Genomic DNA, 13,942 nt, shown 5'->3' on the forward strand with positions numbered 1-13,942 from the left:
GAAACTCGGTCTTCCTGTGCTCCTGCCATGAGCCTGGGCTGCTGTTGCCCCATCAGGGTCCTGGTCCTGATTCTCCTAATTCTATTCCACCTCACGCCTCCTAGCACTGCAGGTGGCTCTGGGCCACTTGTTTCACCTCCTCCTCCTCCTCCTGCTACTGTGGATTTCCAGATTTCCCCCATATCTATCAGAGTTCTCCAGAGAAGCAGAGCCAGTGGGCGATATGTAATGCATGTCAAAGAGATTCATCTCTAGGAATTGGCCTACATGATTGTGAAAGCTGGCAAGTCTGAAATCTGTAAGGCAGGCTGGAAACAGGTAGGAATTGATGCTGAGGTCTTGAAGCAGAATTCCTCTATCAGGAAACGTCAGTTTTTGCTCTTAGAGCCTTCAGCTGGTTAGATGAGTCTCACTCACACCATCAAGAGTAATCTCCTTTACTTACTTAAAGTCAACTAACTATAGGTATTAACCTCATCTACAAAAGAGCTCCATAGCCACTCTGAGACTAATGTTTAGTTGAATAATTAGGCAATAGAGCCTCATCAAATTGACACATAAAACTGACCACCATACTCTTTGAGACTCAAAAAGCTCCTTGTTCCCCAGAAAAATGCACCAAACTTAATATTTTGCATCCACAGACGCCACAGGGACAAGAGCCCGTGATGTAGAGTTTCAGACAATACATTTCCACATGGGTCATTTTACTTGTGGTAGCCATTTGGGTTGCTTCTGATTTTTTTTTTTACTAGTAGAAAATGTTGGTATAGGTTCGCAGCCGCCGCCGCGCCGCCGTCGCTCTCCAACGCCAGCGCCGCCTCTCGCTCGCCGAGCTCCAGCCGAAGGAGAAGGGGGGTAAGTAAGGAGGTCTCTGTACCATGGCTCGTACAAAGCAGACTGCCCGCAAATCGACCGGTGGTAAAGCACCCAGGAAGCAACTGGCTACAAAAGCCGCTCGCAAGAGTGCGCCCTCTACTGGAGGGGTGAAGAAACCTCATCGTTACAGGCCTGGTACTGTGGCGCTCCGTGAAATTAGACGTTATCAGAAGTCCACTGAACTTCTGATTCGCAAACTTCCCTTCCAGCGTCTGGTGCGAGAAATTGCTCAGGACTTTAAAACAGATCTGCGCTTCCAGAGCGCAGCTATCGGTGCTTTGCAGGAGGCAAGTGAGGCCTATCTGGTTGGCCTTTTTGAAGACACCAACCTGTGTGCTATCCATGCCAAACGTGTAACAATTATGCCAAAAGACATCCAGCTAGCACGCCGCATACGTGGAGAACGTGCTTAAGAATCCACTATGATGGGAAACATTTCATTCTCAAAAAAAAAAAAAAAATTTCTCTTCTTCCTGTTATTGGTAGTTCTGAACGTTAGATATTTTTTTTCCATGGGGTCAAAAGGTACCTAAGTATATGATTGCGAGTGGAAAAATAGGGGACAGAAATCAGGTATTGGCAGTTTTTCCATTTTCATTTGTGTGTGAATTTTTAATATAAATGCGGAGACGTAAAGCATTAATGCAAGTTAAAATGTTTCAGTGAACAAGTTTCAGCGGTTCAACTTTATAATAATTATAAATAAACCTGTTAAATTTTTCTGGACAATGCCAGCATTTGGATTTTTTTAAAACAAGTAAATTTCTTATTGATGGCAACTAAATGGTGTTTGTAGCATTTTTATCATACAGTAGATTCCATCCATTCACTATACTTTTCTAACTGAGTTGTCCTACATGCAAGTACATGTTTTTAATGTTGTCTGTCTTCTGTGCTGTTCCTGTAAGTTTGCTATTAAAATACATTAAACTATAAAAAAAAAAAAAAGAAAATGTTGGTATAAATATATGCATACACATTTGTGTGTGGGCATGTGTGTTTGTTGCTTTGGGGCAGATACTTAGGTTTGGAATTGCCGGGTCATACAGCCAACATCAGTGGCTGTACAATTTCACATTCTTATCCAGCAACATATGAATGAGAGTTCCAGTTGCTCCACATTTTCACCAATGCTTGGTATCGTCAGTTTTTTAGATTTTCTTTCTTTCTGTTCCTCAATTGGTCCCTTTCTCTTACTCGTATCACTTCTGTGGCCCTGCAGTATTGATAGGATTCTGTGCAGATTGCTTTGCCTGTCCTTGAAGTTCCTGCCTGGCCCTCTCCCACACCCCCACTCCAGGGTGAGTTCCTTGTCCCATGCTGCTTTCTCCGACCTGCTCAGAGTGCTCTACCATCTTTCCTGATAGGTCTAATCCTTCCTATCCCTTGGCCCCATGTCCCCAAGGACACCAATCTTGGAGACTACAGCTGGAAGTATGCTCATCTTTCTCTGATCTCAGTGCTATCTCTCTGCCAGCACTTAATGATACTTAAAAATAATACATGCTCACTGAAAAACAACCTGAACTGTATCTAAGAATACAAATAGAAGTATGGACACATACTGTAATGTGAATTCAGTATTTTGGTGAATCTTTTTCTAACACAAGTGCATGTACGTGTAATGTTTTTGTGACATGCAATAACCATTTCTATACTGTATGGTGACTTCAGTTTTCCAGTCGTTGAGGTCCTTCCTGTCCTAGTTTTTAATGGCTATATGATGTTATTTGCTACCTTTTGTTATTTGACATGTGTCTGTAGATCTCTAATTTCTCTTGGTTGATTATTAATATAAATCCGTCTTTTTCCTGGAAAGCTCTAAGGCACCAAGGCCAGGGGTTGTGAGTTGTGTAGTGTGGGTTGCCCAGTCTGCAAGAGGGAAGAGCTTGGGTCCGTCCTGTGGTTCCCCGCTAATTCTAGGAGTGTCCTGCACATGTGGTCACTTGATTTTCTTTTCTCCATGCACTATTGATTTAACCCAGAATCATTGTTTCCTATGTTGTCCTCATCTAACTTATGAAAGAGCATCCTCCTTTGTTATGTTTTTATTTTCCTTCTGCTTCAGTATTGTGTCTTTCACCTTTAGAATAGGATTCTAAGAAAAAGAGAGGAAAATTTAGCAATGATGTGTCATAGAAAACTTAGTGTTGTTTACATAATTCTTGACATGTGGTAACTGCTGCTTGTGAACTGCACCCTCCCAAACACACATATACACACACAGCCTGGGCAACATAGTGAGACACCATCACTACACAAAATTTTTCAAAATATTAGCCAGGCATGGTGGCATGCACCTGAATTTGATTGAGAATTACCTGTGAAGTCCATTTCTCCTAAGTTTCCTAATGGCTGTATGATGCTATTTGCTACCTTTTGTTATTGGACATCTTTTTCCTGAGCAGCTGAAATCACCTTTGCAAAAACTATCATAGCAAGGGAAATCTGACATTCCCAGCTACTCAGGAGGCTGAGGATTGCTTTAGCCACGAGTTTGAGCCTGCAGTGAGCTGTGATTGCACCACTGCACTCCAGCCTGGGTGACAGAGCAAGACCCTGTCATAAAAAAATGAAAAAAAACAAAACACATACACGTCACATGGATTGTGGGTGAATTCAGTCTGGTCTTTCTGCAACAGTTAGGCAGAGGCACCCCTGTTGCAGGAGGAAGGGGCATAACTTTCAGTTGACCCCTTCAAATGGCTAACCACCTAGGGAACTTTCAGGAGTGGCCATCAACTTTTTCTCTCTTCCTATCCTTTTATTTTTAACCTAAAATCATTTAAAAATTCAGTGTAGTTTTTAGCTCAGTAATGACATTTATGTAGCTGTAAACCTTGTTCCTAGGCATGACATGATGACTCTTTGATGAAATGCTGTTCCAAGGAGGTAAAGGGCTGCAAACAGAGCTCTGCAGAGTTCACCTGGAGAGGTTTGTGGAAGTGGTCCGAGATGTGCTGTGAACTTGGATAAGCATATGCAGGTTCTCAGGAGGATATCCTACCAGTGGGGCCCAGCCGTACCTGGGCACAGTGGAGATATGGTTTATGCAGTTGATGAGTTCTGACGCTGCCAGAGGACAGCTATTGGATCATGGTTGCCTCAGCTTGAATTCAATTGAGAATTGTCTGTGAAGCCCATTTTTCCTAAGTCTAAGCAGCTGAAATCACCTTTGCAAAAACTATAGTAGCAAGGGAAATCTGACATAACTGACTCCATCTTGCTCCTAGCATGCTAAATTGCTTTTGCTCATTCATGCACAGAGGCTATACTAGTACTTTCCTTGAATGGATCCCTTCCTTGTTCAAAAATTGAAACCATGTTTGTAAAGACTAACAGAAGGTCACAAGGTTAGCATTATGGGAGGGGCTTGAAATTTGCTAAAATATAGGCATAGTTAAACAACCTGCCATGGCTTCACTTGCTTTTCCATAATTTGCTTACTGCCCTGAGTCAAGTAAGCAGTCACAAGATTTATAACTTCCTCAATTACTCCTGTAGACAGCATTGCTATTGTGAAACCTAAAGAACTAGGGCCAGGCACAGTGGCTCATGCCTGTGATCCCAGCACTTTGGGAGGCTGAGGTGAGAGGATCACTTGAGGCCAAGAGTTTGAGACCAGCCTGGGCAACATGGCAAAACCCCATTGATATGGCTGATATTTGTCCCCACTCAAATCTCATCTTGAATTGTAGCTCCCATGTGTCATGGGAGGGACCCAGTGACAGGTAATTGAATCATGAGGGTGGGTTTTTCCTGTGTTTTTCTCATGATAGTGAATAAGTCTCCTGAGATCTAATGGTTTTATAAAGGAGAGCTCCCCTGTACATGCTCGCTTGCCTGCTGTCATGTAAGATATGCCTTTGCTTCTCCTTTGCTTTCCACTGTAATTGTGAGGCCTCCCCAGCCATGTGGAACTGTGAGTCAATGCATTAGTCTGTTTTCACGCTGATAAAGACATACACGAGACTGGGTAATTTACAAAAGAAAGAAGTTTATGGGACTTACAGTTCCATGTGGCTGGGGAGGCCTCACAATCATGGTGGAAGGCAAAGAGGCGGAAGTCACATCTTACATGGATGGAAGCAGGCAAAGAGAGAGCTTGTGCAGAGAAACTCCCATTTTTAAAAGCATCAGATCTCATGAGACTTATTCACTATCACAAGAACAGCACAGGAAAGACCCACCCCCATGATTCAATTACCTCCCACTAGGTTCCTCCCATGACATGTGGGAATTGTGGGAGTTACAATTCAAGATGAGATTTGGGTGGGGACACAGCCAAACCATATCATTCTGCCCCTGGGCCCTCCCAAATCTCATGTCTTCACATTTCAAAACCAATAATGCCCTCCCAACAGTCCCCCAAAGTCTCAACTCATTTTGGCATTAACTCAAAAGTTCACAGTCCAAAGACTCATCGGAGACAAGGCAAGTCCCTTCCGCCTATGAGCATGTAAAATCAAAAGCAAGTTAGTTACTTTCTAGATACAGTGGGGGTATAGGCATTGGGTAAATACAGCCATTCCAAATGGGAGAAATTGGTCAAAACAAAGGGCCTACAGGCCCCATGCAAGTCCAAAATCCAGTGGGGCAGTCAAATCTTAAAACTCCAAAATGATGTCCTTTGACTCCATGTCTCACATCCAGGTCACACTGATGCAAGAGGTGGGTTCCCATAGTCTTGGGCAGCTCCACCCCTGTGGCTTTGCAGGGTACAGCCCCTTCTGGCTGCTTTCATGGGCTGGCGTTGAGTGTCTGTGGCTTTTCCAGGTGCACGGTGCAAGCTGTTAATGGATCTACCATTCTGGGGTCTGGAGGACAGTGGCCCCCTCTTCTAACAGCTCTACTAGGCAGTGTCCCAGTAGGGACTCTGTGTGGGGGCTCCCACTCCACATTTCCCTTCTGCACTGCCCTAGCAGAGGTTCTCCATGAGAGCCCTGCTCCTGCAGCAAACTTCTACCTGGGCATCCAGGTGTTTCCATATATCCTCTGAAATTTAGACGGAGGTTCCCAAACCTCAATTCTTGACTTCTGTGCACCTGCAGGCTCAACACCACATGGAAGCTGCCAAGGCACAAGCCTGTAGTCCCAGCTACTCGGGAGACTGAGGCAGAAGGATCACTTGAGCCCAGGAGGTGGAGGCTGCAGTGAACCGTGATTGTGCCACTCTCTCTCTCTTACTGTGTTGCTCTCTGGGCAACAGAGTAAGACCTTGTCTCAAAAAAAAATAAAAATAAAAAAATTGTAGAACATATAAAATGTATATATTTTTTCTAAATTTTAAAGGCACAAAAACAATCCTTATATTGTTCTTGGGTTCATTTTCATGCCTAGAAAAATATTTAAAATGGACTAAGCATGTCCATCAAGGCCCTGATCATTGCAAGGGATGCAGAGTGGAAGACAGGGGTGGGGCTGGGCCTGAGGATGTTTGGGACTGTACTTTTAGCTCTAGTCCTTGTTGTTTTTTTTTTCTTTAGTAAAATTGAAGCAAATATGATATAATGATAATAATTAATTTTAGGTGTACTGGAATAAGACTCTTTGTAATATTATTCTTTGTATTTCTTCTTACTCAGTAGAAACAAAAGGCTCACCAAGCACCCAGTATCTAGAAGTCAGCAGCCCAACCTAGCCTGCACTCCTGGGGTGTGGCCTGAGGTGTCCTGTGTCCAAAGGAGAAAGGGGCATTGTTATAACCTGGTGGGTGGGCTGGTGTGCCCTGGGAGCTTCCCATCTGAAATGCTGGTGAGGGGTTTGCACCCTGAAAGAGACTAGTTTCTTTTTCCTCTTTGTCACTAATGCATGTACCCTCTGTCCTGTGCAAATGCCCCACCCTGTGTCTTGTGCAGAGTTTGTATGGTCACACAGTGACATTTCTGGATTGTGCTGGATTGGATTTTGGCATGTGCTCAGAGGTCTTAGTTCTCATCTAGACTTAGAGGGCCACTCTGTGCTTGGCAAGTCCTCAGTGGTTGAAAAACTCCTTACCTACAGCTAATTTGGGGCTTGTCTAGGTGGCTGGTGGAGACAGGTGGGGAAGCTTAGGGAACCTTGGAGTTTCTGTGGGGATTGACTCATTCTGCCCTGAGTACCATGGATAGACCTTTTCCTTCTGCTTTTTTTCTCTCTCTTTTCTAGCTGGGAAAACCCTTGGAAATACATTCTTGAGCCTTATTGTGTTGGGCTCAGAGGCTAAGAGGGAGACCCTGGATGGAGTGACAGGTGACTTAGAGGCCAACTGGCCAGCCTGTGGGCAGAGCAGATGGGAAGACAGGGGCAGAGATTCAGCCAGCCCTCTCTGGGGGTCTCAACTCCACTTCTGCCTCACAGATCTGCTGGTCACCTGACACCTCCAGTTCTCCTCACTCCTGCTGCTGGGGCAGAAAATGAGAACCCCAGATTGGGATTCCAGGTGCATTGTTTTGTACCCGTGGCTCTGGGGTGCTGCTGCTGTTGTCCTGTGTGGTGGGTGGCTGTTGTGGCTGCCCTACAGGTCTAGCCATACAGGATGTTGCCTGGTTCCTGTGGAACAAGATGTTCTGACTTCCAAGTACTTGACATAGAAAATAAGCTTTAAAGCCTGGGCAACATGGAGAAACCTCATCTCTGAACCAAAAAAATACAAAAATTAGCTAGGCGTGGTGGCACATATCTGTAGTCCCAGCTACTCGGGAGGCTGTAGTGGGAGGATCGCTTGAGCCTGGGAAGTTGAAGCTGCAATGAGATGAGATCATGCCACTGCACTCCAGCCTGTGTGACAGAGCCAGACTCTGTCTCAAAACAACAACAACAACAACAACAACAACAAAAATAAGCTTTGAAATATGACAGTGTCATGGTGAGAACTGCCTGAGCTGCTGATGTTGACAGTGATGATTCCCTCCACAAGCTTCTGTGAACTCAGAGGGTTCTGTTTCCTTCTTCAAATTCATTGAAATGAAGAAGTCATTTGCAAATTGAAAAAAAAGGTTATATTTCTTTTTTATTAATCAATTTAGTATTGTTGGAAACTTACTATTTACTCATCTGTACATGAATCTGAATGTGAAGTCTATTTGACTAACTGTATTTTAAATTGCTCACTGCAAAGTAACTTTACGTTTGTTTTTAAAAATGGCTTTCACTAGTAATCATTATGTCAGGGGCTTTCGAACCAGAGCGACTCCATTTTGAGTGAGGGCTAGGAAAATGAGGCTGAGATTGGCTGGGCTGCATTCCCAGAAAATCAGGCATTCCTGGCCTCTGGATGTTTACAGTAAAGGGAACAGATTAATAATGTTTACTAAAACAGACCCAGACTTGGGAGTGTCCAGATATCCCGATATCTGGAGAACAAAGGCATTCTTAATTTTGCCTTAAAGATAATAATATTGATTCTTACAAAAGGTAGTAATTACGAAAATTAATCCTTTATCACAAACCCTCGTAGCAGAGCACATCTCCCCAAGATCTATTTTTATCCTATATATATAGCAGCACTGTACATAGGGTGCATGCGTTCCTCCTCTTACTTTCGGGAAGGCCCTACTCTGTCTAAGGAGTAGCTGTCCTTTCACCATTTTACTTTCTTAATAAACTTGCTTTTACTTTGCACTGCGGACTTGCTCTGAATTCTTTGTTGCTCGAGATCCAAGAACTCTCTCTTGAGGTCTGGATCCGGACCTCTGTGCTGTAACAATTACACAATATATGTGTTTAAATGTATATCATCATGTTGTATACCTTAAATATATACAATCGTTGTCAATTAAATGTTCTAAAATCAAAAAGTCTTCACATATATGAAACAATTAAAAAGTAAATACTTATTTTTCTTAAGATACAGATCTTTATTTTTTTGGAAGAAAATAAAAATCCCAAAGCAGATAATCTTATTTTAGTTATAGAAAATAATCTTATTTTAGTTATAGAAAATAATTTAAATATATTTTGGTATTCGATGGTAAAAATATTGATATTTACTTAGTTGAATTAAAAAGTGAATATCTTTCTAGTAACTTCTTATCTTTCTTGGTCAACTGAGGTTATTATTATTTTTTTTCTGAAAATATGTCAGGTTCATACAACTGAGGTTATTAAGAAAAATTATTCAGTGTTCCTGTGTAGCAGCTAAATTCATTATTTAATGCATTTTAAAGAAGCCTATTGCTTAAAAAATGCATAAAAAGCAATAGACTTCTTTAAAATGCATGGGTTGCAAAGGGCCCCAATATGAAAGTTCAGATTGAGCTAAATTGAAGATAATGTATTTGAATGTCTTATTATTTGGAAGTTATTATGATGGAATTGGTGGAAATGAAGGAAAATGTTGTCCTGGTGTTAACCTTTGTGGGAGGAAGCCTTGAGAACCATCCTCCCCCGCAGCAACAGGTGGGTGTTCCTGGAAAAGGCTGGTTTGTTGGTGGTGGTGGTGGTGTGTGTGTGCGTGCGTGTGTGTGTTTTGAGATGGAGTTTCGCTCTTGTTACCCAGGCTGGAATGCAATGGCGCCATCTCGGCTCACTGCAACCTCCACCTCTTGGGTTCAAGCGATTCTCCTGCCTCAGCCTCCGAAAGTAGCTGGAATTACAGGCGCCTGCCACCACACCCGGCTAATTTTTGTATTTTTAGTAGAGACAGGGTTTCACCATGTTAGCCAGGCCGGTCTCGAACTCCTGACCTCAGGTTATCCACCTGCCTTGGCCTCCCAAAGTGCTAGGATTACAGGTGTGAGGCACCGCGCCCGGCCAGGGCTGGTCTTGTGTAGAGAGATCAGAGTGGTTCGGAAGCTTGACAGGAACAGGGATTTCTCCTTTCCTGGTGTTGTAATGACCTGAAAATCTGTCTTGTTCTTCAGTCTACCTTGTTCTCCACCCAAGGGTGTCGGGCATTTCCCAGCTTCACTGGCCTCCCGGTCTGTGCCTGCTGCTAGACTCCATCCGGGTTCCACTCACAGTTCTCCTCCCAGGGCTTTTCCCAACCACCCTGCCTCCTGCCTCATTATCCAAGGTGCCACAACCTATTTTACAGATTTCCTTGTTTATTTCCTCTCTGCCCTCTAATGCCATTTAAAAAATTTTATCATTTCTACTTCAGTTTATTATCTATTATGTAAAATAAAATATTTCCTGATTTTGATTTATCGTTATATCCCAAGGACCAAGAATGGCGCCGGGTACGGAGAACACTCAGCATCCTTCCATTTGTGGAAGGAATAAATATTTGTGTATCTATGTAGATCTGTTTTCCCACTTGCTTTGTGATCTGTGTATTTAAAGAGGGGGCAGCTTCTTCACAAGGCATTCTTTCTGGAAACAGAAATGCAATTCTTCTTAAGGAAAAGTGGATCATTAAGATTTCTGAACTAGTTTTGCAACTATATAGAGAAATGTTGGAGTAAAAGTTAATTCCAATGTTAAAATTCTATTCTGTAATTATCATAAAAACATAGACTTTTAAGAGCGTTATTTCTGGATCACACAGTTCCACCAGCACTCTCCCTAGTAGACAGCCTCAGAGGGGCTCAGAGCAGTCGGTGATATGCCGGGGACACCCGAGTCCCAGCCAGGAAGTGCCCAGGGAGGAATGAACCAGACCTATGGGAAGGAACAAGTGAGTCCTGCCAATGCAACCCCTGTCCTCCCTTTAAAAAAAAATGACAATTAAGCTTAATGAAGGTATTTGCAATTGAACCATGGATCTAAAAAGGTAAAAGTGGGGGAAAGTTAAGAGTTTCTAATTATAAGCATCATCTTCCTGAAACTCTCACTTTTACCCTTAATTCAGAAAAGACACGTGGCTCTTAACCTCCTATGTACTTGTGTTGCAGGTGGTGTCTTTGGTGGCTGTTCACCCTTCCACAGTAAACATGCTTGGGAAGCAACTTTGCCAAAAGCCTTCGGACAGTCCAGCGTCAACACCGCAAGCCAAGTGGTAAGGCCCGCGGGGACAGAACCGTCGGACCCTGGTGGCGAATCTGGGATGGATGAATTCGTTGCTGTTGCGGCGGGCGGTGTTGGCAGGAGCGCTAGATTTGCTCGGGTTGGAGTGTGAGATGTTCCCTTCCGCCGAAGGAGCCCATGCAGACAGGGCTAGATGTACCTTCTGCAGCTTCTGCAGCGACTTGAGGCGCGTCGCTGCTAGAGGGTCCTGGTGCCCTCGGCGTGCGTGAGGTGCTGTGTGTCCCTCCCCACCCCCCGTACAATCCTCCCCGTAACTGGGCAGTGGAATCGGTGGGCACTGGAAGGACCCGACGCAGGTGATGGGATGCAGCGCTTCCAGGTGGTGACCCCGGCTGGACGTGCGTGGGTGCGAACTGCCACCCGGGCTGGGGCCAGCTTGCTGCGCCGCTGCCTCCGCAAGCCCTCCCAGCCCGGAGCTGAGTCTGACGAGGATTTCTTACGCGTTCAAGCGAGTGTGGAGCGGCGAGGCAGTGCACTTGCCCCATAGCTCCCGCGCTGGGAAACCCGGAGGGGAGGGGCTGTGGAGGGCGGGAGCCCCGGGCAGTAGGTCTGTGCTTCTTCCTTGGTCCCATTACACGGGAAGGGCAAGGTGACGCCACTCAGCCACGCAGGCCTCGCATTGGTGCCTTCCCTTCCCTAGCCAGGACGCGGCTATTAAACGCTGCTTTTAGCCGATTGTATTTCCTGTCTTTGAATCCGTTTTCTTTCTCCTCTCTGGTTGGTTGGTTCTAGCTCTAAGCCCATCAAAGACTTTAAGGATCCTACACAGAGTGCTGCAGGCTCCCTTTGTCAGAATTGGGGCCCCTAGGAGCTGAGTGCGGCAGGTTTCGCCTGTTCCTGGAGCTCGTAGTCAGGGTCGCTAGTGCACTGCCACTCTGAGGACTGGACGGAGTTCCAGACCTGCCTCCGGGGACCTCCTGCGTGAGGGCGGAGGCCCTTTCATGACCGTGAGATGCTCCGGGCCTTCCTGGTCAGCATGAGCTGCAGCCTCCACGCTGGGGCCTCCTGCCAAGTCCCGGGCTTTGGTGACTTAAGTGCCTTTTGCAGTCTCACCACCCAGGGAAAATTTATAGCGGTGTGGATTGAATTTTTGTTTTAAGTCTGATTGTGTTCTTTAATCTTGCTAAGGGAATCGCTAAGGGTAGCCATTAAATTATTTTGTGTCGTTTAATTTGATTTTCCCATAGGTACCCAATAGGACAGCTTAGGATGAGAGCACTCTTTAAAAACAAACAACTGGCTGGGCGCGGTGGCTCACGCCTGTAGTCCCAGCACTTTGGGAGGCCAAGGCGGGTGGATCGCCCGAGATCAGGAGTTCCAGACCAGCCTGGAACAACATATAGTGAAACCCCGTCTCTACTAAAAAATACAAAAATTAGCTGGGCTTGGTGGCGCATGCCTGTAGTCCCAGCTACTTGGGACACTGAGGCAGGAGAATCGCTTGAACCCGGGAGGTGGAGGTTGCAGTAAGCCAAGATAGTGCCACTCTACTCCAGCCTGGGCAACAGAGCGAGATTCCGTCTCTCAAAAAAAAAAAAAAAAAAAAAAAAAACAACAACAACAATAAAACCCTTTTAGATACAAAAGTCCAAATTTTTAGAAGTATACCTATTTCAATTGTGACTCAAAACCAACAAGCCTTTTCATGGCTTAAAACCAAGAAGCCTTTTATCACTTAACCATGGGCTCAAGAAGTGCCTCCAAGAGAGGGTGCAAAAGCACACTGTCCGCCTTGGCATCCAAATTGCTCCGAATATCCTAAGAACGGCCAGACCTTTTTAAAAACAAGGCAATGAAGTTGAGACAATTAAGACAAACTCCCCTAAGAGCTGGCACAGTGGGACAAAGAGATACTTTGGTTCTGGACTCCTAGCCAGTTGGCTAGCCGCCTGAAGCAAGCCTGACAACGTGCGACTTCTGCTGGCAAAGACCACAGAGAATATCCTCACTGGTTCCCGAGCTAAGCTCTCAAGACATAAAACAAGATGAAGGCCAAATCTTATGATTTTCCTCCTTATGACAAACTACACAAAAGACAGAGACAAGGAAAACAAGGACCATTCCTGGGAGGCTGTGATCTATAACCAATGGGTACTCAGAACCAAATTCACAAGAGTCACAATTTGAAAAATTAATTCTTATAAATGTTTTCTCCTACCAATCTGAATTGGAAAGGAAAAGACGACGAACAATGTTTACCTCCCTTTCTCGAATGGCCACTACAGACAGAGATCTAAGAGCTGACTGGGTGAGATTTCCTACTTTCTACCATCTTTTGTCAGTCTTCCCAGTCCCATCTCCAAGCTGCAGAGCTAGTGGGCATCCCTGCCTTTTAGGGTCCCTCCCTTGTCACCAGAAACTGTAGGGGAGGCAGAACTGCACCTCCATCCCCTTGGGGTCCTGGCTGGACTCAAGAATTAAATTGATATAAGATAGATCAACAGAAGAAAAACATACAAATTCACTTAATACAAGTTTTATGTGGCACAGGAGCCCTCATACGGAAATGAAATCCCAAAGAAGCCGTTAGAATCTGTTACTTATGTACTGAATTGGACAAAGCATAGTAAGTTGTGAAAATGAGGAAAGACAAAGGGACTTGGGCGAGGGAGCTAATTGGGTAGACATGTGTTCGGGAAGATGGTATAACAAGGTTTGTTTGTAAAGAATTTCTCCAGCCTCAGTTTTCCGTCCTTGATGATAGGAAGGTTGCGTCTGGCAGCAGAATCTTTGTCTGGGGGGAGCTGCTGTGCAAACCACCCCCTACCGAATTTCTCCTCTCCCGCTTTCTTATTGCAGGTAGTACTCCGTTCACGCCCAGCTGTCCTGTAGAATGGCAGCCTAAATGTGAACAAAAGCTATACCCCCTTCCTTTGATGCCTTTAGTCCAACTAAAAGAGGCTACAAGTTTCCAAATGAACTTTGCATTACAAACATGAAGATGTGAAAGTGAACAGAGGGAAGATGAGGGCAGGCCAACCCCAAGGGCCAAGGCTGCTGCTTATCTTCTCCTGAAGCCCCTTCCTCTCCTGACCTCTATGGAGAAGCCCCCCTAAAGTTCCTTTCTCTACCCCCAGGGCTAGGTTACAGCCACCTCCTAGGTAGACAGTGGGAG

At 44.9% G+C, this 13,942-nt stretch overlaps 1 pseudogene across 1 annotated transcript, besides 2 other annotated features; it reads left to right on the top strand.

Moving 5' to 3' along the window:
- Nucleotides 1–773: 773 nt before the first annotated feature.
- Nucleotides 774–1,832, top strand: H3P6 (H3 histone pseudogene 6; annotated as a pseudogene). Its single transcript, NR_002315.1, has one exon. The product of NR_002315.1 is annotated as a H3 histone pseudogene 6 (transcript).
- Nucleotides 10,797–11,536: an enhancer, noted in NCBI's record as "H3K4me1 hESC enhancer chr2:175594551-175595290 (GRCh37/hg19 assembly coordinates)". NCBI's record gives its function as "activates a minimal SCP1, AML or CMV promoter by ChIP-STARR-seq in primed H9 embryonic stem cells {active_cell/tissue: H9 hESC(primed)}" and the evidence as "EXISTENCE:reporter gene assay evidence [ECO:0000049][PMID:30033119]".
- Nucleotides 11,135–11,429: a silencer, noted in NCBI's record as "tiled region #13988; HepG2 Repressive non-DNase unmatched - State 20:ReprD, and K562 Repressive non-DNase unmatched - State 21:Repr". NCBI's record gives its function as "represses a minimal TATA promoter and a strong SV40 promoter by Sharpr-MPRA in HepG2 and K562 cells {active_cell/tissue: HepG2 | K562}" and the evidence as "EXISTENCE:reporter gene assay evidence [ECO:0000049][PMID:27701403]".

Source organism: Homo sapiens, chromosome 2 (genome assembly GCF_000001405.40).
Source record: "Homo sapiens chromosome 2, GRCh38.p14 Primary Assembly".
Taxonomy (NCBI): domain Eukaryota; kingdom Metazoa; phylum Chordata; class Mammalia; order Primates; family Hominidae; genus Homo; species Homo sapiens.